This window comes from Homo sapiens, chromosome 20 (assembly GCF_000001405.40).
Source record: "Homo sapiens chromosome 20, GRCh38.p14 Primary Assembly".
NCBI lineage: Eukaryota > Metazoa > Chordata > Mammalia > Primates > Hominidae > Homo > Homo sapiens.
Window position 1 is genome coordinate 38304889 of NC_000020.11, and position 24332 is coordinate 38329220.

General features: G+C 47.8%; 1 protein-coding gene across 5 annotated transcripts in view; it reads left to right on the forward strand.

Moving 5' to 3' along the window:
- Positions 1-24332, forward strand: part of BPI (bactericidal permeability increasing protein) — a 33350-nt gene that overhangs the window by 733 nt on the left and 8285 nt on the right. For 2 of the 5 annotated variants that reach the window (NM_001725.3, XM_047440394.1), the window contains exons 2-11: positions 2679-2793; positions 4042-4170; positions 5603-5764; positions 6986-7049; positions 13525-13588; positions 15295-15386; positions 18982-19158; positions 19886-19945; positions 21377-21544; positions 22700-22767. In NM_001725.3, the coding sequence (NP_001716.3) occupies positions 2679-2793; positions 4042-4170; positions 5603-5764; positions 6986-7049; positions 13525-13588; positions 15295-15386; positions 18982-19158; positions 19886-19945; positions 21377-21544; positions 22700-22767 (1099 nt within the window). Of the gene's footprint in view, positions 1-2678; positions 2794-4041; positions 4171-5602; positions 5765-6985; positions 7050-13023; positions 13118-13524; positions 13589-15294; positions 15387-18981; positions 19159-19885; positions 19946-21376; positions 21545-22699; positions 22768-24332 lie in introns of those variants that run through there. The other 3 variants (XM_047440393.1, XM_047440395.1, XM_024451972.2) reach the window with 3 other exon arrangements.

Sequence of the window (24332 nt, forward strand, 5' to 3'; positions counted from 1 at the left end):
TGCCAGGCATTGAGCTAGGAACTTTACACACACAGTCTCTTTTACCCTCACTTCAGCCTTGTGTAAGACAAACTGCTGCTATCCACATTTACACGTGAGAAGTGGGCAGCCTGGATTTGAGCTCTGGTCTTGCCTGATGCCCCAGCACGGGGTTGCTCGATGCTGCCTCCCGATGGCAGAGAGATGACCTGCAAAACAGTGGGTGACACCCAGCCCCAGGGAAATCAGACCAAGGGGAAGGCAGAGCCTCACCAGTTGGGGTGCGTTGGGAAAACAGACAGGACTCAGGGGACCTGGTATCCCACCCCTGAATTCCCACCCCAGCCCAGCAGGACATCACTGAATCCTAGAGCTGCAGACAGAAGGCCACAGAAGACAGAAGAGCTAGGGGGAAGGAGTATGGCCCTGAAGCCTGTCGACACAGAGGCTCAGTCAGGGTCTTTAAGTTCAGTGGTCTTCATGCTCCGTCATAGCAGCCTGAGTTTCCCCTTCTACCCAGGCCCCTTGTGCCAATCGGAGTGAGTTTTCTGAAATGCAGCAAATCCCTACACATCCTCCCCTGGCTCACATTCTCCATGGCTCCCTACTGCCTTCAGAAGCTATCCTGACCCTTTGGCATGGCATTTGAGACCCTTCGAGGCCTGGCCCCTGTCAACTTACAGATCCTGGCCACTGCACATTTTTTTTTCCCTCCACACAGTGACCAGTTATGTGTCATTTACTTTTGAACCCCCAGAAAGCCTTCTCTAGGGCATGGGCTCTGGGACCAGAAGGCCTGGGTTCAAATTCTGCCCCTTGTCCGCTGTGTGGCCCCTAGCAAGTCACCTCAGCTTTCTGAGCCTCAGCTTCCTTATCTGTGAAATGGGGGTAGTGACAGGACCTACTTCCTAGGATTGTACAAATTCATACATATACGGAGCCTAGAACAGTGCTTGGCACAGAGTAAAGCTCGATACATTTCATTGATATTATTATTTCCTAACTGGCTCCGAGAAAACCCAAAGTCTGGGCTCCCTCATCTTACTACTTACTCCTTTTCAGGTAATGTGTCTGCCTTTTAATTGGTTCTTTGATGCTGTTAGCCACATTATAACTGGTGGTAGAATTCCTGCCATTAGGACATTATTTATTCATCTAATAAATCTTTTTTTGTTTTGTTTTGAGACCGAGTCTCGCTCTGTGGCCCAGGCTGGAGTGCAATGGTGCCATCTCAGCTCACTGCAACCTCTGCCTCCGGGGTTCAAGTGATTCTCCTGCCTCAACCTCCCAAGTAGCTGGGATTACAGGCGTGCACCATCACACCCAGCTAATTTTTTGTATTTTTAGTAGAGACGGGGTTTCACCATGTTGGCCAGGCTGAACTCTTGAACTCTTGACCTAAAGTGATCCACTTGCCTTGGCTTTCCAAAGTGCTGGGATTACAGGCGTGAGCCACCGCACCCAGCCTCATCTAACAAATCTTAAGTGCCTTCAAAGTGTCAGGCACAATGGGAATGTAAGGGACACACGAGTAAATAAAACAGATTGCTGCTGACTTCAGGGGGCTTACATGTAATAGGGGAGAGACATTCGTCAGAGTCACGTGAATAAATGCATAATTACAAATGGTAACAGGGGCTCCGAAAGAGCAGTCCACAGCATCATGAGAATAACACAGGGCGTTGCTCTGATCTACTAAGCCAGGGAGGGTTCCCAGAGGAAGTGATGAATGAGCTGACTAGAAGCTGACCGGGTGAATATGGGAGGGAAGAATTTCTTAGGGAGCAAGAATAGCATGTGCAAAGGCCCTGGGGAGACAGTCCAAAACCCAGAGAGGTGGGAGATCTGTGGGGGTGTAGCATAGAGCAAATAACAAATTAAGTATCCAACAAAAACTAGCAGGAGGCATAACTGGGTGTTTCAGGGGTGATATTTTAGACCAGGGGTCAGCAAACTACAGCCCTCCGTTTTTGTATGGCTTATAAGACAAAAATGGCCTTAATGTCTTTAAATGATGGGAAAAAAATCAAAAGGGCCGGTCATGGTGGCTCATGCCTGTAACTCCAGCACTTTGGGAGGCTGAGGTGAGAGGATCACTTGAGCCCAGGAGTTCGAAACCAGCTGGGCAACATGGTGAAACCCCAGATCTCTGCAAAAATGTTAAAAAAAAATTTTTAAAAAGTTAGCCTGGTGTGGTGGCGAACACCTGTGATCCCAGCTGCTAGGGAGGCTGAGGTGGGAGAATGACCTAAGTGCAGCGGGTCGAGGTTGCAGTGAGCCGTGATCATGCCTCTGCACTCCAGCCTGGGCGACACAGCGAGACCCTGTCTCAAAACAACAACAAAAGAAGAAAAATACTATCTCACAACATGTGAAAATTATATGAAATTCTCATTTCAATGCCAACAAATAAAGTGTTATTGGAATACAGGCACATATAAGAACATGATATTGTCTATGGCTGTTTTGTGCAGTAATGGCAGAGCTGAGTATTTGTGACAGAGGCAATATGGTTTCCTATAAAGGGTCAGTTTACTATTTGGCCTTTTCTAGGAAACCTTAATTGATCCCTGTTTTTGACCCTTCCAGTGCCACTGTCCATGCTACGAACAGGGGCCCAGGGTCCAGAGCCTGCCCTGCCCCTCTGTCCCCTGCTCCAGGCTGTGCCTCTCACTGTCACCCCTGCCTTCTCCCTTCAGCCAGCCAGCAGGGGACGGCCGCTCTGCAGAAGGAGCTGAAGAGGATCAAGATTCCTGACTACTCAGACAGCTTTAAGATCAAGCATCTTGGGAAGGGGCATTATAGCTTCTACAGGTGAGGCCTATCAGAGCTCAATCCTCGATTTGCAGGACTTGTAGTGTTCTGGGGACACCAAGAGCTAGAATGCAGAGCCACAAACTCCTCAACTCACAGAGTTTCATATCCCAAAGCCTGCATTTACATCATCCCAAGGGGAGGCAACCTCCCAGCTGAGCGTGGAGGAAGCCACAAAAACCACGACTCCCAGGAAGTGTGTCATGAACCCCCAAACTCTGCGCCATATGTCAATTAGAATGTGCAAGTTTTCAAGGTCAGAAAATCTTTTCTAAAATGGCTTAAGGCAGAATGCATTGGCTCACATGGCCGGAAAGTCTCTGGAAGAGTCTGGCTTCAGGTTCAGCTTGAGGCAGGCTTACATGTCACTGGGCCCTGTTTCTCTCTTGCCACCTCTCAGCATCACTTCCTTGGACAGGCCTAATTCGCAGGCAGTGTGTCCCCTCCAGAGGCAAGACAGCCACCAGTAAGTCTCTCTAGATCTCCTGCTCAGCACTCTGAACAAAGAGCCCTAAGACTCACTCTGACTGGCCCACCTCAGATTATATACACAGCCCTGAGCCAATCACTGTAGCCAGGGAATGAAATACACTACTTGGCCGAGCCTAAGTTGCAAGCTCCACCCCCGAAGATGGACGTGAGGTCAACTTTCTTTGGAGTGGCATGGAACAGATATGGGGAGGGGCTTCCCCTAAATAATCTAGTAGTTCTGTTATCACAAGAAGGGGGCTGTGCACTGGGCAGAAAACCCATAAAAGTCCTCTACAGTTTTATACACCCATTCATTCACAGATATTTTGAGCACCCACTGTGTGTCTGACACAGCAGGCTTTGGGGCTGCAATAGTGAAACAAGACAGAGCTATACAGAGCTCTTCTGTACAGAGCTTCCAGTGAAAGGGCCTTCTATTTTATCTTCATTGATTGCCACACACCCTGCAAAATAGCAATCACTGTGCCCATTTTACAGATGAGGAAACTGAGGCTGGGGTAATTATGCCCAAGGTAACCCAAGAGTATATTAAAGAGCAGGATTTAAATGCAAGTTTTTTCTGACTTCAAAACCTAAGCCACTCCAGTTGCCTACATATCTGCCAAGCCTGCTTTCTTAGCTTTGGGCTCCTCCTGGAATGGATGGAGTGAAGGACCAGGTGGTGGGGGACGAGTCTGCATTAACCATTAACGAAGTCCTCATGTGTGCACCTAGGAGTATATGAAATTATATGACATTCACATTTCTCCTTTGCAGCATGGACATCCGTGAATTCCAGCTTCCCAGTTCCCAGATAAGCATGGTGCCCAATGTGGGCCTTAAGTTCTCCATCAGCAACGCCAATATCAAGATCAGCGGGAAATGGAAGGCACAAAAGAGATTCTTGTGCGTTTCCATGCTTGCGGTTTGTTGGGTGTGCTCTTGGTGATATTTGGACGGGATTAGAGAGTCAGCGTCTCTGGAATGCCCAATTTTTGCCTTGCCTATTACCACCTATAGCCACAGCGTTCCTCAGGAAATTCTTCACATGAGAAGATTCAACATAACCCTTGATTAATAGCTGAGAATTTATCCACATCTCAGTGCAGGATACTGGCGAGGCTGAGTTGGTGTATGTGGCTTAGGGTGGAAATCTAAGTGGAACCTTTAATTTATCCCGTTTATCAGTTAGCTATTGCTGTGTAACAAACCATCCCAAATTCTGTGGCTTAAAACAACAATCGGCTGTCATCACTTATGTATCTGTCGGCTGGGGCTTAGCTGATCTGGGTTGGGCTTAGCAGAGGAGGCTTGGCTCCACCTGTGTCTCCTCCTCCTTGGACCAGTGGGTTATGCAGAGCATATTCTTGGTGATAGCAGAGGTGTAAAAAGGGAAAGCAGGAACACACAGGTCCTCTTAAGGCCCAGGCTCAGAATTTATATACCATGGCCAAATCATTTCACGTGGCCAAGCCCAAAGTCAAGGGCAAGCAAAGGCACCTTCCTCAACCCTGCCATGATAGGCAATGGCAAGGGTATGAATGCAGGGCAGGGTGAAAAATAGGGGCAAATAACCCAAACTACAACTCCAAATCTAAGTCCTGGGATCTCTCCACAGCTACCCTGCCCATTAGCAATAGTGGTTCAGACTGACCATCGCTTTAGGAAGGTCTCCTTTCTAGGGAATCTAGGGAGGAAAATGGAGGAGAAACCACCCTGGCGGATGAAAGGGGCGTGAGTCTGCCCGCCCTTACAAGAACTGCTGGATGTGTCTCCTCCCCACAATAAGAATCACTTAACTCTCTCCCTGGGCTGTTTTGCATCTGTCTTTTCCCTTAATGATCACACACAAAAACAAAAGAATGTCCACTGTCTCAACCAAAACCCATTTCATCCCTGAAGGAGGAGTTATTAACCTCATTACTGAATTAATGGGGGCATTAATGAATGAAAGTCATTGGCCCCAAACACCCAGCTTTTTAGTAGCAAAGCTGAGACACACACTCTGGTGTCTGACTGCTGATCCAGGGTCTGAGGGAGGAAATGGAAGCTCAGAGAGGTAAGAAACATGCCCAAGGCCACACAGCTAGGGCAGCAGCTGAAGCAGTGGTTAAGAGCAGGTTTCTGCCAGGCAAACATGAGTTCCGAATTCAGGTTGGATTCCTGACTCTCCCATTCGGCTGCTATGTGATCTTGGGCAAGCTGCCTCTTCTCTCTGAACGTACCTCCTCACCTGGAGTGGGGATAATAACAAAACCCGCCTTCCAGCACTGGGGCAAAGTTTGAATGTCAGTGGGAAGAAAGGACTTGTCCCACATTCCTCTTTGTTCTTCTTCAGAAAAATGAGCGGCAATTTTGACCTGAGCATAGAAGGCATGTCCATTTCGGCTGATCTGAAGCTGGGCAGTAACCCCACGTCAGGCAAGCCCACCATCACCTGCTCCAGCTGCAGCAGCCACATCAACAGTGTCCACGTGCACATCTCAAAGAGCAAAGTGGGGTATGGACTCCCGGGACTGTGGCTGGGAGGAGGGACTTAAAGAAGAACTCTCCCAATCATCCCTGTATTCCGAAAACACATCCAGAGTGCCACCTGCATGCCAGGCCTTGCTCAGAGGCCTCAGGCATGGTATGGGGGCCAGGGGCCCACAGATGAACCAGACACTGTCTCTTTCTCAAGGCATCATTTGTTCATTCCATACTCATCCAGCAGACTTTACTGAGCACTTACTATGTCCCAGGCTCATACTAAGCACTTTACATATGCACTAAATTATATCCTCATCACAAATCTGTAGGCATTCATCTATCCATCCATTCAACAAATACCTAGTGAGAATCAGCTCTGCACCAGGCTCGTGCAACATGGTCAGGAAACAGGAGTGACAAATGAAAACTTAGCAAGAGCTAATATTGGTCAGAGGCTGACTGTGCCCAGCACTGATTTGATCACACTCATTATCTCATTCAAGCCACACCATGACTCTGTGAGGTCGGTCTATTATTACCCCATTTTCTGGGGAGAAAACCAAGGCATGGAGAGATAGGCAATAACTTAAGTTGCTACAGCTAATGAGTGTTCAAGTCCAGGTCTATTTCACCCCAGACTCAGCCACACAGTCCTGTTCTCTTAAAGTTTTCAGCCCAGTGGGGAAGACAATCATTAACCAAAGCATTGCATGAATGAATGGCCCACACAGAATTACAAAAGGAGACAAGAATTAAGAAAAAGAGGTACAAACTTCTATGAACGCAGAGAACCAGAGGCTCTGACCGCATCTGGGAGCAGGCCAATTCTTCCTTGGTGAAATGACATTTGAACTGAGATGAAAGGATAAGTAGGCATTAGTTAGGGAGGTGTTGGGGAGGGGGGTGTTTTAAGCAGAGGGAAGAGCATGTGCAAAGGCACGGTAATGGGAGGACACACAGGAGAGAGGACATGGCAGGCCAGTGTGGCTAGTGTGCAGCAAGGGAGGGGACTGGTAAGGAATGAGACTGGGACGGGGGCCCAGCCATGCAGGGATTCAGGAAATAGCCTCATGAACAGGTCACTAAATCGGGGAGAAGTGTCTGATGGGGTGTGTGCAGTTAGAGCTCAGAGGAGAGGGTGCCAAAACCTGTTTCTAGGAGGGAAGAAAGCTTTTGAGATGAGGCAGCCTCCTGAATCCAGCCCAGGGACAATCAAAAAGCCTCATCTATGTCCCTACTTGTTCATCTCTAGGTGGCTGATCCAACTCTTCCACAAAAAAATTGAGTCTGCGCTTCGAAACAAGATGAACAGCCAGGTAGGAGGGGCTCAGAGCCCCATCAGCAAACAGAGGAGAAGGGCCCTTAGTAACCACACACCTCCCCCTTCTACGGACACTCTGCTGTCACTCCAGACCCCTTGGTAGTCCTTATGGCCCTTTGAAACCACAACCCCAGCTCTAAAATCCTGTCATGTATGTTTTGCTGAAGAGTCCACCAAGAGACCAAGAGACAATCACTTCCCACACTCCCAGCAAACTTTCCCTCATGCCAAGCTTGGGCCACCTCTGCTTTTCCCCAGCCTTCCTCCCTGCTGAGAAAATGCCATTCTCTTTCTGCCTCCCTCTCTTCCCATAGCCCTGCTAGCCTCCCTCCACCCCACCCACCCCAAGTTCCTTCCTTGATGCTCCCCATTCAGAACAAATGCCATTGATGAAGCTGCAATTCTGGCCTTTGGCCAAACCCCAGCCATAGCCCATTCCCTGAGGCTGGAACTAGTACAAGAGACGGGTATCAGCCAGCACTTCCCGAACCATGCCCATAGCCTAAACCCGCAACCCACATACTTCAGTTACGGGATGAGGCCATTCATTTGGCTGGTTTTCCATTAACAAATTATCAGTTTTTAAGAATCATCTGAGCCTGTCTCAAAAAGCAAAGAGTTTTGCCTCTCTCCAGAGGGCAATGGAAGCCACTGAAGGTTTTATGCAAATGGGTGACTTGGCCAGATCTGTGCTTTACAACAATTTCCCTGTCCACTGTGGGAATGACTGGAGGGGCCAGGAGTAGGAGCAAGGAGACCACTGAGGAGTCTCATGCGGTCTTCTAGGTGGAAGATGTTGGTTTCCTTGTTAAAGACACTGAAAATACAGATGGGGGGCATCAATCAAGTGAGATCATCTATCTGAAGATACTGTGTCAAAAGCTTAAAAAGCAAGAAGTCAATACATGTTTGTCAAAATGCATAACACAGTGGACTATAGAATGGGTTTTAGAGTCCCATGGCAAGAGTGGAGCCAGTGGCTCGGTTGGGATTAGATGGGACAGTTCCAATGAGCAGGACATTCCCCAGCCAAAGTCTCAGGGTAGGGTCTCAGGGAAGGTTTTGGCTTGGGCTCCAGGGCTTAACTAGCTGTGTAACCTTGAGGAAATTACTTGACCTTCTTGAAACTCAGTTTTACCATCTGTAAAATGGGGACATTAGGCCGGGCATGGTGGCTCATGCCTGTAATCCCAGCACTTTGGGAGGCCAAGGCAGGTGGATCAACTGAGGTTAGGAGTTCAAGACCAGCCTGACCAAATGGAGAAATCCTGTCTTTACTAAAAATACAAAATTAGCTGGGCATGGTGATACATGCCTGTAATCCCAGCTACTCGGCATGCTGAGGCAGGAGAATCGCTTGAACTTGGGAGGTGGAGGTTGTGGTGAGCCAAGATCATGCCATTGCACTCCAGCCTGGGCAACGAGAGTGAAACCCTGTCTCAAAAAAAAAAAAAAAAAAAAAAAAAAAAAAGGGTAGGGGGGACATTAATACCGTCTTCACCAAGGCACTGTAAGGATTCATGAGATAACCCAGAAAATGTGCTCACTCACTAGGCTAGCTCACCCACAGTTCAGCTGTCTGTATAATCAAGTAACAGTCTGAGAGGAGTGTTGAGATATATTTAACATTTGGAACAATTACAATGATTATTTCTTAGTACCATCTAAAGGTGGCCCCTCTATAGCAGCCAAGCTAATAAGTAGTAATGCTGCTGCTGCTGTTGATGATGATGATAATGGTGAGGTTGATGATGGTAATGGTAATGGTGGGGATGATGGTGATGATGGTGATGGTGAGGATGATAATGGTGATGGTGATGACGGTGATGGTGAGGTTGATGATGGTGATGGTGGGGATGATGATGATGGTGATGGTGAGGATGATAATGGTGATGGTGATGATGGTGATGGTGAGGTTGGTGATGGTAATGGTAATGATGGGATGATGATGATGATGGTGATTCTGAGGATGATAATGATGATGGCGATGATGGTGATGATGGTGATGGTGAGGTTGATGATGGTGATAGTGAGGTTGATGGTGATTATGTGGTTGATGATGGTGATAGTAATGGTGGAGATGATGAGGATGGTGATGGTGATGGTGGTGATGATTATGGTGAGGTTGATGATGATGATGGTGATGGGATGATGATGGTGGTGATGGTAATGGTGGGGAAGATGATGATGATGATGGTGGTGGTGAGATTGAGGATGGTGATGGTGGGGATGATGATAATAATGATGGTGATGGTGATGGTGGGGATGATGATGGTGGTGATGGTAATGGTGGGGAAGATGATGATGATGGTGGTGATGGTGAGATTGATGATGGTGATGGTGGGGATGATGATAATGATGATGGTGATGGTGATGGTGATAGTGGGGATGATGATGGTGGTGATGGTAATGGTGGGGATGATGATGATGATGGTGGTGATGGTGAGATTGATGATGGTGATGGTGGGGATGATGATGATGATGGTGATGGTGGGGATGATTATAATGATGATGGTGATGGTGGGGATGATGATAATGATGGTGATGGTGATGGTGGGGATGATGATGGTGACGGTGATGGTAGGGATGATGATAATGATGGTGATGGTGATGGTGGGGATGATGATGGTGGTGATGATGATGGTGGGGATGATGATAATAATGGTGATGGTGATGGTGGGGATGATGATGGTGGTGATGGTGATGGTGGGGATGATGATAATGATGGTGATGGTGATGGTGGGGATGATGATGGTGGTGATGGTGATGGTGGGGATGATGATAATGATGGTGATGGTGGGGATGATGATGGTGGTGATGGTAATGGTGGGGATGATGATGATGGTGGTATGGTGAGATTGATGATGGTGATGGTGGGGATGATGATAATGGTGATGGTAATGGTGGAGATGATGATGATGATGATGGTGATGGTGATGGTGAGACTGATGATGGTGATGGTGATGGTGATGGTGGTAAGTATACACCGATTTAATAGGCATTTTCTTCCTCCAAGGCAGGAGCTCATCCTGGGAAGTTTCAATGGTGATAGCGAGGTTGATGGTGATGGTGATGGTGGGGATGGTGATGATGTTGGCCCATATAATATACTGAGTGTTTACAGTGATCTGACACTATGCTAAGAACTTTTTCCATGGATTCCAGCATTTAATCCACACATTCTGGCATTTAATCCCCTGTGAGAGAGATTCCATGATTATCCCTATTTTACAGGTGAGTAAACTGAGATACAGAAAGTGGAAGTAATAGTGCTTGGATTCAAATCCAGGATACCCTGCCTCAGAGATGAGCCTCTCTCTTAACCATAAGATCCAATTTAGAAGCAAGTACTGGCCTGAATGAATGAATGAAGGAATGAAATGTCATGATGCCAGGAGGGTCTGGAAATGGTGAGAAGTGAGCCAGGGAGTCTGCCCCCAGGGAATACAGCATGTAGGGCTGGTGTCTGAGGGAAGGAAGAGCCTGCGTCAGTACAAAGTGTGCATGAAGGGAAGAGCAGGGAGGGAGCTGGGATCCCACCAGGATTTGCTGCGATCTGGAGCCATCTGTTGGCCCTGATGGGTGAGCAACACTGATGACAATGCCTGAGGGGCAGCTCAGGAGTCCAGCAGGGCCTCAGCTGCCAGCTGTGCTGTCCTCTGTTCCTGGGTCCTTTGGAAAAGAGGTGCAGGTTCCTTGGAGAATGCCAGTCCAGGTCCTCTTAGGACTTCAAGAGCCTTATGTGGTAGAAACACACTTCAGGGAAACCAAATTTTCTCCTTCCCTCCTTCTCACTGCTGTCTTCCCTCCTTCCTTCCTTTCTTTCCTTCTTCCCTCCTTCCTTCCTTCCTTTCCTTCTTCCCACTCTTCTTCCTTTCTTTTCTTTTCTTTTCTTTTTTTTTTTTTTGGTGATGAAGTCTCTCTCTGTTGCCCAGGCTGGAGTACAGTAGCACAATCTCAACTCACTGCAACCTCCGCCTCCCGGGTTCAAGAGATTCTCCTGCCTCAGCCTCCCGAGTAGCTGGGATTACAGGTATCTGCCACCATGCCTGGCTAATTTTTGTATTTTTTGATAGAGACAGGAATTCACCATGTTGGCCAGGCTGGTCTCAAACTCCTGACCTCAAGTGATCCACCCACCTCGGCCTCTCAAAGTACTGGGATTACAGGCGTGAGCCACCACACCCAGCTCTTCCTTTCTTTTCTCCCTTTCTTCCTTCCATCCCTTTCTCCTTTTCTCCCTTTCTTCCTTCCTTCTTTCTCTTCCCCTCTTCCCTCCTTCCCCTTTTCTTCCCTCCATACCCCAGGAAAAATAACTTGATTGGCAGTGTAGAAGAAGGGGTAGGGGAGGATAGAGGTGACCTCTAGGCAGATGGTGCAGCCAACCCTAAGGAGGATTAAGAACCTGAAGAGTTTGGTTTGGGATGTGCCAGCCTTGGGGACCAGTAGGACACACAGGGACAGTTGTCCTTGAGGCAGCTGGGTCCCCAGGCTGAAGCTCAGAGGAGAAGCCTGGGCTGCAAAGTAAGGCCTGGGTACTGGCCACATGTTGGGAGCAGTGGAGGTGACTCCGCCTGGGATCCCAAAGACAGATGCTGAGTCAGGGTTTGGGTGCAAGTCATTTATTGGGAGGGGTTCCCAGGCAGCGCAGTGAGGAGGTCGGGAGGCAGGGAAGGGCCTTTACTGAGTGGGTTGCTGCTATGGGCAACTGGGACTCAGTCCTGCTGGCAATTCTCAGAGGAATGGTGGGGAGCACACCTCAGAATTGTCCCAGAAGCGGGAAGAAGGCTGGGGTATTTGTCTACCACCTCCTACCCTTCTTTCATTGAAGGCTGTTCTTAGGGTCCTAACTGCTTGGCACTTCTGAGCACAGTCCAGAGAGTGTGGGTGAGGCGCTGCAGCATCTGCCACAGGGGCCATGGGGATGCCTGAAATGGCTCAAGAAGAGGGCCTAAGTGGAAGGGACAGGGAGCCAGGAAGAAAGCCCAGAGAAGCTCCCACATCTTCAGTGAAGGAGGAAGAGCTTGCAAAGAAGTCTGGGGAAAAGCCTGCAGGGGATAGGAAGAAAGTGGAAGGCCTTGGTCACAGGACTCTAGAAGGAGTGTTTCTAGAAGGGAATGGGCAACCACACCAGGAGCTACCCAGTAGTCAAGAAATGCAAGGACTGAAGAGACTGCTGGATTACTGAGGGAAAGGTCATTCGAGAGCAACATCAGGAGAGGGAGGGAAGGAGCTTGTCTGACCACCAGCCCCAGCCCCAATCTCTTAGTGAGGAGAAGCCTGTGGTTTAAATCCTATATTCTAGCTATCTATTGCTTGAAAACAAACAACTCAAAATTTGGTATCATAAAACAACCACCATTGTTAACATTCATGGATTCTGTGCATCAGGAAAAAGGCATGACAGGGATGGCTAAGCTCTCTGCTCCATGAGGTCTGAGGCCTCACCTCAGAAGACTCAAAAGTTCCATGTTAGAATTACCTGGAGAGTTCCTCTCTCCCATCTCTGGTGCCTGGGCTAGGAAGACTTGAAGGCTCAGCTCTGCTGGGACTATTGACCCAAGCCACTTCCATGGTCTCTCCACAGGGCTTGGGCTTCTCGTAGCATTGAGTGGGTTCTGCACAGCCTTTTATGACCTCACCTCTGAAGTTACACAAAGGTCAGGTGTATTGTTGTGTTCTGTTGCTTAGAAGCAAGTCGGCAAGCCCAGATTCTAGTGGCAAGTTCACAGACTCCATCTCTTGGTGGGGGTGTGGCAAAGCCACATTACAGAAGAGCAAATGGAATGGAAAATGTAATTTGCCATGTTCCGTTTTACAGATGAAGAAATAGAGGTCTAGATAAATGGAACAACTTCCTCAGTGTCAAAGTCAGTGTGTGGCCCAAGTCAGATTTTCTCAGGCTAGTGTTTGTTCCATTGTGAGTCATGGGCTAGGGGACAGGGGGATTGGGGTGGAGTGGCAAAGGCAGGTAGGGAATGGCTTCTCTGGCCATACATACCAAACATGAGGGTGCCCACCTAGACTTAAGCAGAAACACTGCCCATGCTCCCAGAAGCCCAGGTAAGGGAAGGCTGGCCATTGACTACCTCGTATTTGTTTATTACCTCATTCCACAAAGGATCTGAGACAGCAAAATCAAACAGAAACAAAAGAAAAAACAAAACAACAACAGCAACAAAAAAAAAAAACCTTATAAAATAGAAAACATAAACCCTCATCAGTTCCACACACCAGGGCAGGAAATAGAATGCAGTTATGTGGGCCATACAGTCATATACAGTTATTATTTCTAAGCTACATGTTCAACTCTGAGCTTCCTGGTGGCCAAAAAGAAAAGGGAAACTTGATTGGCTACATAATTTTCAAGAAAACATTCAAGGAAAGCAAGGCATATCTGGCCCGTTATTGTCAAGGGACATTTTTCACTATGGGAAGACCTTACTGATTACTTGTTTGGTTCTCCCCAGGTCTGCGAGAAAGTGACCAATTCTGTATCCTCCGAGCTGCAACCTTATTTCCAGACTCTGCCAGGTGAGGGCTGGATGAAGATCAAGGATAGAAAGGAACAGAAATGGGAGGGGGTGAGGACGTCAGGGTGGATGTGATGGGGCCGGCAAGTTTCCCAGACAGCCCTGGGCCTGGGTGGGAATGAGCAGAGTAGTACATTATTTTCAAGAGGCAGCTAGCATTGGGTCAAGTCCTTGTGCTAGGTCCAGAAGTGAGGAGGACAAACAGCCCATACTACCTCATTCCCTCAGCTCTGCAAGGGCCAAACAACAAAATACCCCCAGCTCTCTGAGGCCAGAGACACATGACTGGCCTGAGATCTGATATTGGTCACTTCTTTTTGGATCTCAGTTTCCATGTCCTTAAAATGGGGACAGTAATCTTCACCCCCAAGTACTTGGCAAGCTGCAAAGAACTGTGGCAGGCACTCAGGAAATTGTCCGCTCTCAGCCTCCCAACACTCCCCTGAGAGAGGCATTATTCTCCCCGTTTTACACAGGAGTAACCTGGCCGGGGTCACACCTGTAATCCCAGCACTTTGGAAGGCCAAGGCAGGCGGACCACCTGAGGTCAGGAGTTCAAGACCAGCTTGGCCAACATGGAGAAACCCTGTCCCTACTAAAAATACAAAAATTTGCCAGGCATCATGGCAGGTGCCTGTAATCCCAGCTACTTAGGAGGCTGAGGCAGGAGAATCACTTGAACCCAGGAGGCGGAGGTTGCAGTGAGCCAAGATCATGCCACTGCACTCCAGCCTGGGTGACAGAGCAAGACTCTGTCTCAAAAACAAAAAACAAAACAAAACAAAAAACACATGAGGAACCTGAGGCTCAGAGAGTAGGTGAGACTTGTCCAGAGTCATGAAGCCATCAAGAGGCAGAAGAAAGATACAAATCTGGAGCTAAGATTTCCTTCACTCCAGAGCCTGGGCTTTCAGCTGCTCTCAGGACTACCTTGCTGTAAAGCCTGGCATGGTTGGCACATAGTATATGCCCATTTAAGAGGCATTTTCTTCCTCCAGAACAGGAGCCCATCCTGGGCAGGTTCAATGCAGCTGCAGTGCCCAAGGTTTGGCCTCAAGAGGCAGGAAAAAGATTTTGGTCTGAATGCCAGCTTCATCACTCACCAACCATTGAACAACTTGGATTTCTGAGCCTTGGTTTCTTCCCTGCTAACTGAGAAAAGGGATATTTATTTAATTCTCATTGATTACTACTGGGAAACAGAGAAACTCTCCAGACTTGAGCCAGCCAGGGCTTAGCCTTGTCTATTATCAATGATCCTAACAATGATCCTCTCTGGCTTCTGAGCCTCTGCATGGACAGGGCATTGGGCATCCACCTCCTCTCAAAACCCTCCCAGCATCTGTGAGGTCACTAGGATTCTCTCTGTTCTACAAATGACAAAAAGTGCTCAGAGAAGTGCAAGGACTTGTCCAAGGTCATCCAGAGTTTGGTTCAAGCCTAGGTCTCTCTGTGCCCTTGACCCTGTGTCTTAGCGACTCATCTCAGGGCTGTTGGAAGAAGAGAGTAAGGGGGTGTCTGTGAATGTGGGGTGTGGGTTCATTTTCCCTTAAGGCGAGCTCCCTTAAGGAGAGCTCCCTGGAGAAGGTGGGAATGAAACTTGCACTGCAGCTCTTGATTCAATTTTAGGGGATTCTGATCCTGCATTTCAGCTTCCAGCGATGCTGCCGTGGGAGCCAGCTCATGGTCCATTTTCTTTCTCTCTAGTAATGACCAAAATAGATTCTGTGGCTGGAATCAACTATGGTCTGGTGGCACCTCCAGCAACCACGGCTGAGACCCTGGATGTACAGATGAAGGTGAGGCTGACACTGAGAATCATACACCCTCACACCTCTGTCTCAGACACTCCAGGGCTCCCCAGTCCTTGGAAACAAACTTAACAATGTCCCCTACTTCCTATCTGACTCACCACCACCCTCTCTACTCTCCCCGCCTCTCCCTGCTCCAGTCACACTGGCCTCCCCGCCATTCCCCGAAACACACCATGCCTGCCCCACCCCCCTCCAAAGGCCTTTGCCCTTGCTTTTTCCTCCGCCTGGGTACTCTCCCCCAGGTTTCCACACAGCTCTCCCTTGCTTCCTTCAAGTCTTTGCTCAAATATTCCCTCCCTAGAGAGACCTTCCCAGACCACTCTCGCTGAAATAGCTCTCTCCTCTTCCCCCACATCCTGCTTTATTACCAATACACACACACACACACACACACACACACACACACACAGAGTCTCTAGTCTGTCTCCCTCACTATGATGAGGGAGAAGGGGCTGCGACTATTTTGTTCACTACCACATGTGCAGCACCTAGACCAATGCTTGGCACATACTAGGTGCTCAATAAATTATTTGTTGGATGGGTGGATGGATGGATGGATTAGTGGATGGATATATGGATGGATGGGTAGGTGGATGGGTGGGTGGGTGGGTGGATGGATGGGTAGGTGGGTAGACAGGTGGATGGGTAAGTGGATGGGAGGTGGGTGTGTTGGTGGGTGGATGGATGGGTGGGTGGGTAGACAGGTGGATGGGTAAGTAGATGGGAGGTGGGTGTGTTGGTGGGTGGGTGTATTGGCGGATGTAAAGGTAGGTGGGTGGGTGGGTGAATGAATGGATGGGAGGGTGGGTAGATGAGTGGGCGGGTAGGTGGATGGGTGGGTGGGTGTATTGGTGGATGGATGGATGGATGGATGGATGGATGGATGGATGGATGGATACATGGATAGATGGGTAGGCGGATGAGTGGGTGGATGAATGGATGGGTGGGTGGGTAGATGGGTGGGGGTAGATGGATGGCTGGGTGGATGTATTGGTGGGTGGATGGATGGATGGATGGATAGATGGAGTTTTATTTCATGCTGCTCCCTCCCTTACTCACCACCCTCCAACCAGACACACTGGCCTTACACTTCCTCAAATAGGTTAAGCTTCCTCTCACCTCAGGGCATTTGTCCTAGCTGTTCCCCCTGCCTGGTACTCCTTTCCTTCCCAATGCCCACCTCTACCCCGCTGGCTTCTTATAGTACCATGTGGATCTCCACTCAGCTGTCACTCCCAGAGCAGCCTTCCCTACCACCCCAGCAAGAGTGGGTCCCACTCTGAAATTCATCCTGGATTGTGCCTCCTTCAGTCCTTCCATATTGGTGATTTGCTTGTTTGTTTACAGTTATTTGTTTGCTTCAAAACACATTCAATGTGAAAAAGAAACTTTAGAAACTGCAGAGGAATGCAGAAATAAATATAGGAAAGAAGGAAAAAAAAGAGAGAGAGAGAGAGAATTACCCGAGTCTACAACCTAGAGATAAGCATCATCAATAAATAAGTGTAGATCCCTCCAACCCTTGTCTTTGCAGAAACAGAGGAAGATACACACACACACACACACAGAGAGAGAGAGAGAGAGAGACAGAAACAAATGTACACATATATAGATACAAAAACAAATACACACAAAACCCACAATATAGAAACAGGAAAAAATGCACACATATGTACTCACATATAGACAACAAAATACACACAGACATATATTTTGCATGTGTCATATTATATATTCTGCTTTACAACTTTAAAAACTCAACACGTATCATAGGAACATCTTTGCCATCCATGAAATGTCCTCTTGCAGCCCTTTACTGGCTGCTTGGATTTTCAGCGGACAGCTTGTGGTAATGTACGAGGACAGTGCCCCCTCCTGGGACACTTGGGCTTTCCATTTTTTTTTCCACAAACGTAACCAAAGCTGCAGTGATCATCCTTGCAATCGTGTCTCTGTCTATCCTTGAGTATTTCCTAGAAGTGGAATTGCTAGACCAAATGGCATACTAAGAAAAAAAAATGAATACCCACATATATCTAAGTGATACAACAGACCAAAAGATTAAAACAATAAGTAATTATCCTCAGTGAATAAGAAAGGTCTTGTTTATCTCCTGGGCTCCTGCCCAGAGTTGATCACTGACAACCATGGAGTGTGTTAACCTCCCAGGTCCCTGGTTCTAAGCACTCACATAAATGCATAAGAAAATCCATCTAGATTTTGCTGATGCTCTACATGAATGGATACACACTGTTCTTCCACTTGCTTTTCTCACTTAACAATATGTATTAAAGATAAATCCTAGTCAGTACATAGGTCCATCTTTATTATTATTATTTGAGATGGAGTTTTGTCTTGTTGCCCAGGCTGGAGTGCAATGGCGCGACCTCCACTCATTGCAACCTCTGCCTCCCAGGTTCAGGCGATTCTCCTGCTTCAGCCTCCGGTCACTGGGATTACAGGCTCCCGCCACCACGCCTGGCTAATTTTTTGTATTTTTAGTAGAGATGGGGTTTCACCGTGTTGGCCAGGCTAATCTCAAATTCCTGACCTCAGGTGATGCACCTGCCTTGGCCTCCCAAAATGCTGGGATTACAGGCGTGAGCACTGTGCCCAGCCCATCTTATTATTATTAAGAGTTGCATGTATTCCATAATATGGAGGTTATGTTTGTTAATTTTAAGTAATAAAATAATTCTAAGGTACAGAGAATGCTATACACTTCCAAGTACCCAACACACAGATTTAAGAGATCTTACCATTTTGTCATATTTCCTTCTGATTTTTAAAAAAATTTAAAAAACTGTAGAAATAACTAACGAGGCCCCCTTGGGTGCCTCTCCCCCCACCCCAGAACCATGTTGATGATGTTGGTGTGTGTCCTTTTTGCCTGTGTTTTTATACTTTTTATGGGCCTTTAAATTTTACATAAGTGGTATCCTACCATATGTATCCATCTATAATTTGGTTTTTTAAGCTCAACATTTATTTGCTAAATAAATGATCTGCTTTTGCAACATATTGCCAAATTGCTTTTCAGAAACATAAAGAACAACCTTAACAGCTTATGAGTGCTCTCACCAAACACTGGGTAGCATCAGTTTAAAGCACACACGACTCTCAAAACAATTTTCCTCTTTTCCCATTTTGCTAAGTTTACCGACGAAACAAACAGGATTTCACTGTTCTTTTCGTAGGGTTTCTGTGCTTACTAGCAAGGTTGAGGTTGAGACAATGGAGTGGTTAGGAGAACGTTCACTGGACATTGGAGGCCTGGGTTCAATTTCTGGCTCTGCCACTTACCAGCTGTGTGACCTTGGGCAAGTCACTTCACCTCCTTGTGCCTCAGTGTCCTCTCCTATAAGATGAGCATAATTATACCTGCCTTCCCAGGACTGGCATGAAAGGCACTTAGAAAGTAATGCCCAGGAGGCTTTTGATGCTACTGTTAGTTTCTGGTCATTGCTTTTTCCTTTGCAAGTGTACAATTGGTGTCTTCAGTCCATTTTTTCCTGGATGGAGATGTTGACTTATAATTCCTGAAGAATATCTGGGCTCACTCTGTTGCCTCTACCCCCAGGGGGAGTTTTACAGTGAGAACCACCACAATCCACCTCCCTTTGCTCCACCAGTGATGGAGTTTCCCGCTGCCCATGACCGCATGGTATACCTGGGCCTCTCAGACTACTTCTTCAACACAGCCGGGCTTGTATACCAAGAGGCTGGGGTCTTGAAGATGACCCTTAGAGATGACATGGTAAGGCCGGGCTCTGGGTGGGTGTGGGAAGAGCACTGGACCCAGAATCCTGCAGACCTTCCAGACAAATCTGGAAAAAGCTTTTCTCACATTGGGGTAGGTTAAAGTGTTGACTCTAGAGTCAGCTAGAGCTGAGTTCCAATATCGGCCCCACCCCTCTCCAGCTGGGTGACCCAGGTCAATTACTGTACCTCTCAGAACTTGTTTTGTCATCTGTAAAACACCAATAACTGGCTTTCTCCAAAGGGTGTCATGAGGATTCAATGAGATAGTAATGCCTGATTAAATGAGATATTAGTCTATGAGAGGACCGAACACAGAGCTTTGAATGTAGGAAGTGATGAATAAGAAACATAAGGGCTACATTGATGAGTACTTGTCAGATTCTGTCATCCAGTCCTAGCACCATGCTAAGGCAGAGGCAGACTTCCTGGAAATGGGGCATCCTATGAGATTGGTTTGCAGGCAGATTGGGCTTTCTCAGGAGCAAAAAACAAGCAGGCGGTCACTGACCAGCTCCTGACCATTCTGGGCCAACTGCTGCAGAAGGTGTGGTTTGGCTTCCAGGCTGGTTGCTGCAGAATTTGTGGGTCAGTGCTCTGTTGTCACATAGGGGCTGGCCACTGTCTGTGTGTGCAGTCAGCCTCTCACCCCGATACAGAACTCACCCCCTCTGCTCCGTCTGTAACAGCATCCTCCGAGATCCTTTTCTCATCTCTTGCTACAGATTCCAAAGGAGTCCAAATTTCGACTGACAACCAAGTTCTTTGGAACCTTCCTACCTGAGGTATGGAAGACCTTGCTTTCCTTTAGTGAGCCCCGGGGGTTCTGGGAGGACAGGGCTTTGCTGAGTGGATGATGAGAGCCCTCCACCCAACATAACACACACAAGATCCAGAAACAACCCAGCATGAAAGGGTGGAAATAGCTTCATCCACAGAACAGAGAAAAGCTCCAAGCGCCCAGTTGACCAGGTGTGGGAGTAGATGCTGGCAGGAGGTGGAGGGAGGGTCTTTCATGCAATAAATTCTTATTGAATGCCCACCATGTGCCTGGGGCCCTGTGCTGGGAACCCAGCAGAATAGGGCACCTCCCTACCCTCCTGGAGCTCCCAGACCAGTGGAGAGAGAAAAATATCATCCAGATATCCAAAACAATAACAAAAATAGTGTGGACTGTTACCAGTGAAACCAACAGGTGGATGAGGTTACTTTAGACAAGGTGGTCAAGGACGCCTCTGTCTTTATCTGCTCAGGCTACCATAACAAAATGCCACAGACCTGGTGGCATAAACAACAGAATTTATTTCTCATAGCTCTCGAGACTGGAAGTTCAAGGTTAAGGTGTCAGCAGATTTGGTTTCTAGTGAGGGCTCTCTTCCTGGCTTGTAGACTGCCTCCTTCTTGTGTCCTCACAGGGCCTTTTCTCAATGCATGCATGGTGGCGGGTGGGAGAGAGCTCTCTGGTGTCTTTTCTTATAAGGACACTAATTCTATCAGATCAGGGCCCAACTGTTATGAACTCACTTAACCTCAGTTACTTCGTTAGAGGCCCTTCTCCAAATGCAGCCACACTGGGAATTAGGGTTTCAACATATGAATTTGGGAGGACACATTCTGTTCATAGCAGTGTCTCTGGTGGTGAAACCCCAGAAATTTCTATACAGAGAAGCTCTGGTTGGGGGGAGAGGTGTGGCTGCTAGGGGTGTCCAGGAGTGTTGTCTTGAAGCTTCATTTGCATAACAATCACATTATTTTTACTCAGACTGTGGGTTTACCTGGGGGAAGATCAGAGACTAAGAGAAAGGGGAAGAAGGTCACAAAGGCCCTCCTTAGTTCCCCCTTGAAGCCACTACTGCTGTCTGAGAAAGTAACATCTGCAGAGACCTGAAGGAAGGGAAAGAGCCGAGAGAAGAATGCGAGGAAAAGTATCTAACAATGGGGAACAGAGAGTGCAAAGGATTTTAGATGGCAAGAGAGCTTGTTGAGTTTGGGGCACAGAAAGAGTTCCATGTGGCCAGAGATGGAAGACAAGAGGCAGAGGTACATGTGGTGAGGTTGGCAGGGTGCCAGCTGGCAGACTGTGCAATCTTAGGATTTATTCTAAGAGCAATGGGAAGACATTGAAGGTATTTAAGTAGGGGCAGGCCAAGGTAGGATTCAGAAACATTTTAACAGAAACTCCTCCTTTCGTTGATTGTCTCCACTGGGGGCTGCAGGTGGCCAAGAAGTTTCCCAACATGAAGATACAGATCCATGTCTCAGCCTCCACCCCGCCACACCTGTCTGTGCAGCCCACCGGCCTTACCTTCTACCCTGCCGTGGATGTCCAGGCCTTTGCCGTCCTCCCCAACTCCTCCCTGGCTTCCCTCTTCCTGATTGGCATGGTAAGCAGTTCCTGGGTTGGACAGATGAGGAGCCCCAGACAGTCCCAACAGCACTGTCTTTGGAGTCAGGAGACCATGTGAATCCTGTCTGGATTCAAACCTGGACTGTGTCACTCCGGAGCCTGAGGCTTGAGTCACTGTACTCAATGGTGCCGACTCCTGGAGGTATTCATTCACCCAGCCATTCACTAGTGCGTTTGTTTACTTATTCATTCAATTATTCATTCAGTCAATTTCTCATTCATTCAATTATTCATTCCATGTTGGCTTGAAATATGTGTACTGTTCCAATTCATCCATTTATATCTTTAGTCATTCAATTATGCATTTGTGTATTTGTTCATTCATTCAATTATTAATTCATTCAGTTATTTATTAGATTGTTGACTTGAAATATGTTATACATTTTCTGATTCCCACTTGCACTCATTTATTCAATTATTCATTTACTTATACCTTTGTTCAATTGATCATTCATTTGTATATTTGTTCATTTATTCGTCCATCATTTATTCATTCATGCATATCTTTGTTATTCTTCAATTCACATATTTTTTAATCCTTCATTTGCCTCAGTTTTCACTCCATTGTTGATTTATGCATTCATCCCTTTGATCACTCCATCACTCCGCAAAGATTTGGTGGCACCCATATGGCCACTGAGGGTGTGGTTCAGACACTCTCTGCACCAGGAAGCACTTAGAGGCCTTAGGCAGGTCTACTGGGTCTCCCAAGCTGAGACCTGTTATTCCCACTTTGCAGACAGAATAGGTCCTAAGAGGTCATCCAAGACCACACAGACTGCACAGAACAGCTGAGGTGGGAACCGGGGACTTCCTTCTCATATTTTTTGAATGAATTAATGAATGAGGGATTGTGAGAATGGGGCTGGCCTGTCTTATGCAGCCTCTCCGAGAGTGGCCCAAGAACTCTGAAATGGTCCTGGAAGTAGAGAGAGAAAATGGAAATTGACAGTTTAGGACTCAACAGCCACAAAGCCAAGGGAAGTCTCCCCACTCCTCTGGCTCTGTGGGCCTGACCCCACAGTGTATGCTGCCCTGCTGAGCCGTTGTGAAGCTGACCCTTCTTGGTTTGGAGGCCTTGCAATCAGGTGCCTGGGTCAGGGCACTTCACCCTGGGTTGTTGTTTTGGCAGCACACAACTGGTTCCATGGAGGTCAGCGCCGAGTCCAACAGGCTTGTTGGAGAGCTCAAGCTGGATAGGTAAGTGGGCCTGTGAGAGGAGGAGGGGGCTGCCCCTCTGTCCTTGGTGTCTGTGGGATGACAGTGGTCCTGTGATATACAGAAGCACTGCATTGTTGTTTTCCTGTTGGCTCATCACATTAAAACCTCAAAGAGTGTGCGATGGCCACAGTATCCCCATTTTGCAGACCATGAAACTCATGCTCAGAGAAAAAGTGACTTGCTCGAGGTCACACATTGTAGGTGACCAACCATCTCAGCTTACCCATAAATGTCCCGGTTCTAGCAGTGACAGTCCTGTGTTCTGGGATATGGCCAGTCCTCATGGCTGGGAGGCGTCAGCTGATGATCCCCACTGAACCACAACAGCATGCAGCCACTGCACGTCCCTGGCTTTCCTTGACACTAGGAGATCCCGCTTCAACTTCTTCTCACCCCATCCTTGGGACTTTAACCACCATCCTCTGCTGGGAGACTCTGGAATCCACATGGCCCTGATTTGAGTCCCAGCAAGGGAGTTTGTGGTTAGGAGTGTGGCCCCAACATGAGGCTGCCTGCGTTAAAAGTGTGGCTCACCTTGGCAAGCACCAAAACGCTGCCAACTTCAGTTCTCCGACTGTCAAATAAGCCCAGTAAGGCCAGGCGCGGTGGCTCACGCCTGTAATCCCAGCACTGTGGGAGGCTGAGGCAGGTGGATCAACTGAGGTCAGGAGTTTGAGACCAGTCTGGCCAACATGGTGAAACCCTGTCTCTATTAAAAATAAAAAATTAACTGGGCATGGTCAGGTGCCTGTAATCCCAGCTACTGGAGAGGCTGAGGCAGGGGAATGGCTTGAACCTGGGAGGTGGAGGTTGCAGTGAGCCGAGATCGCCCCATTGCACTCCAGCCTGGGAGACAGAGTGAGACTCTGTCTCAAAAAATAAAAAATAAGCCCAGTAATTACTTTGCCAACAGCATTATTGTGAGCTGAAATGAGGTATTAATATGTGTTGAAGTGTTTAGAACACTTCCAGGGATAGAATAAACACTCAATATGCAAGAGGGAAAGAGAAACAGAAATGCAGAAAGAGAGAAATACAGGGCCAGGCATGGTGGCTCACGCCTCTCTCCCAGCACCTTGGGAGGCCATGGTGGGAGGATCGCCTGAGCCCAATAGTTCAAGACTAGCTGGGGCAACATAGTGAGACCTCGTCTCTACCAAAAAAAAAAAAATTGTTTTAATTAGCCAGGCATGGTGGTGCATGCCTGGGGTCCCAGCTACTCGAGAGGCTGAGGTGGGAGGATCACTTGAGCCTGGCAGGTCAAGGCTGCAGTGAGCCATGTTCCAGCCACTGTACTCCAGCTTGGGCAACAGAGCAAGACCCTGTCTCTAAATAAATAAATAAATAAATAAATAAACAAATAGATTTTTAAAAGTAAAAGAAATACAGAAAGGGAGTTTCAGACATAGAGAAAGAGACAGAGACACAGAGAGTGACACTCAGAGAAGGAGACAGACACAAAGGAAGGAAGGGAGGGGAGAGATGTAGAAAAGGAAAGGTAGAGAAAGAGGGAGACACTCAGAGAAACAGAGGGAGGGAGTCGG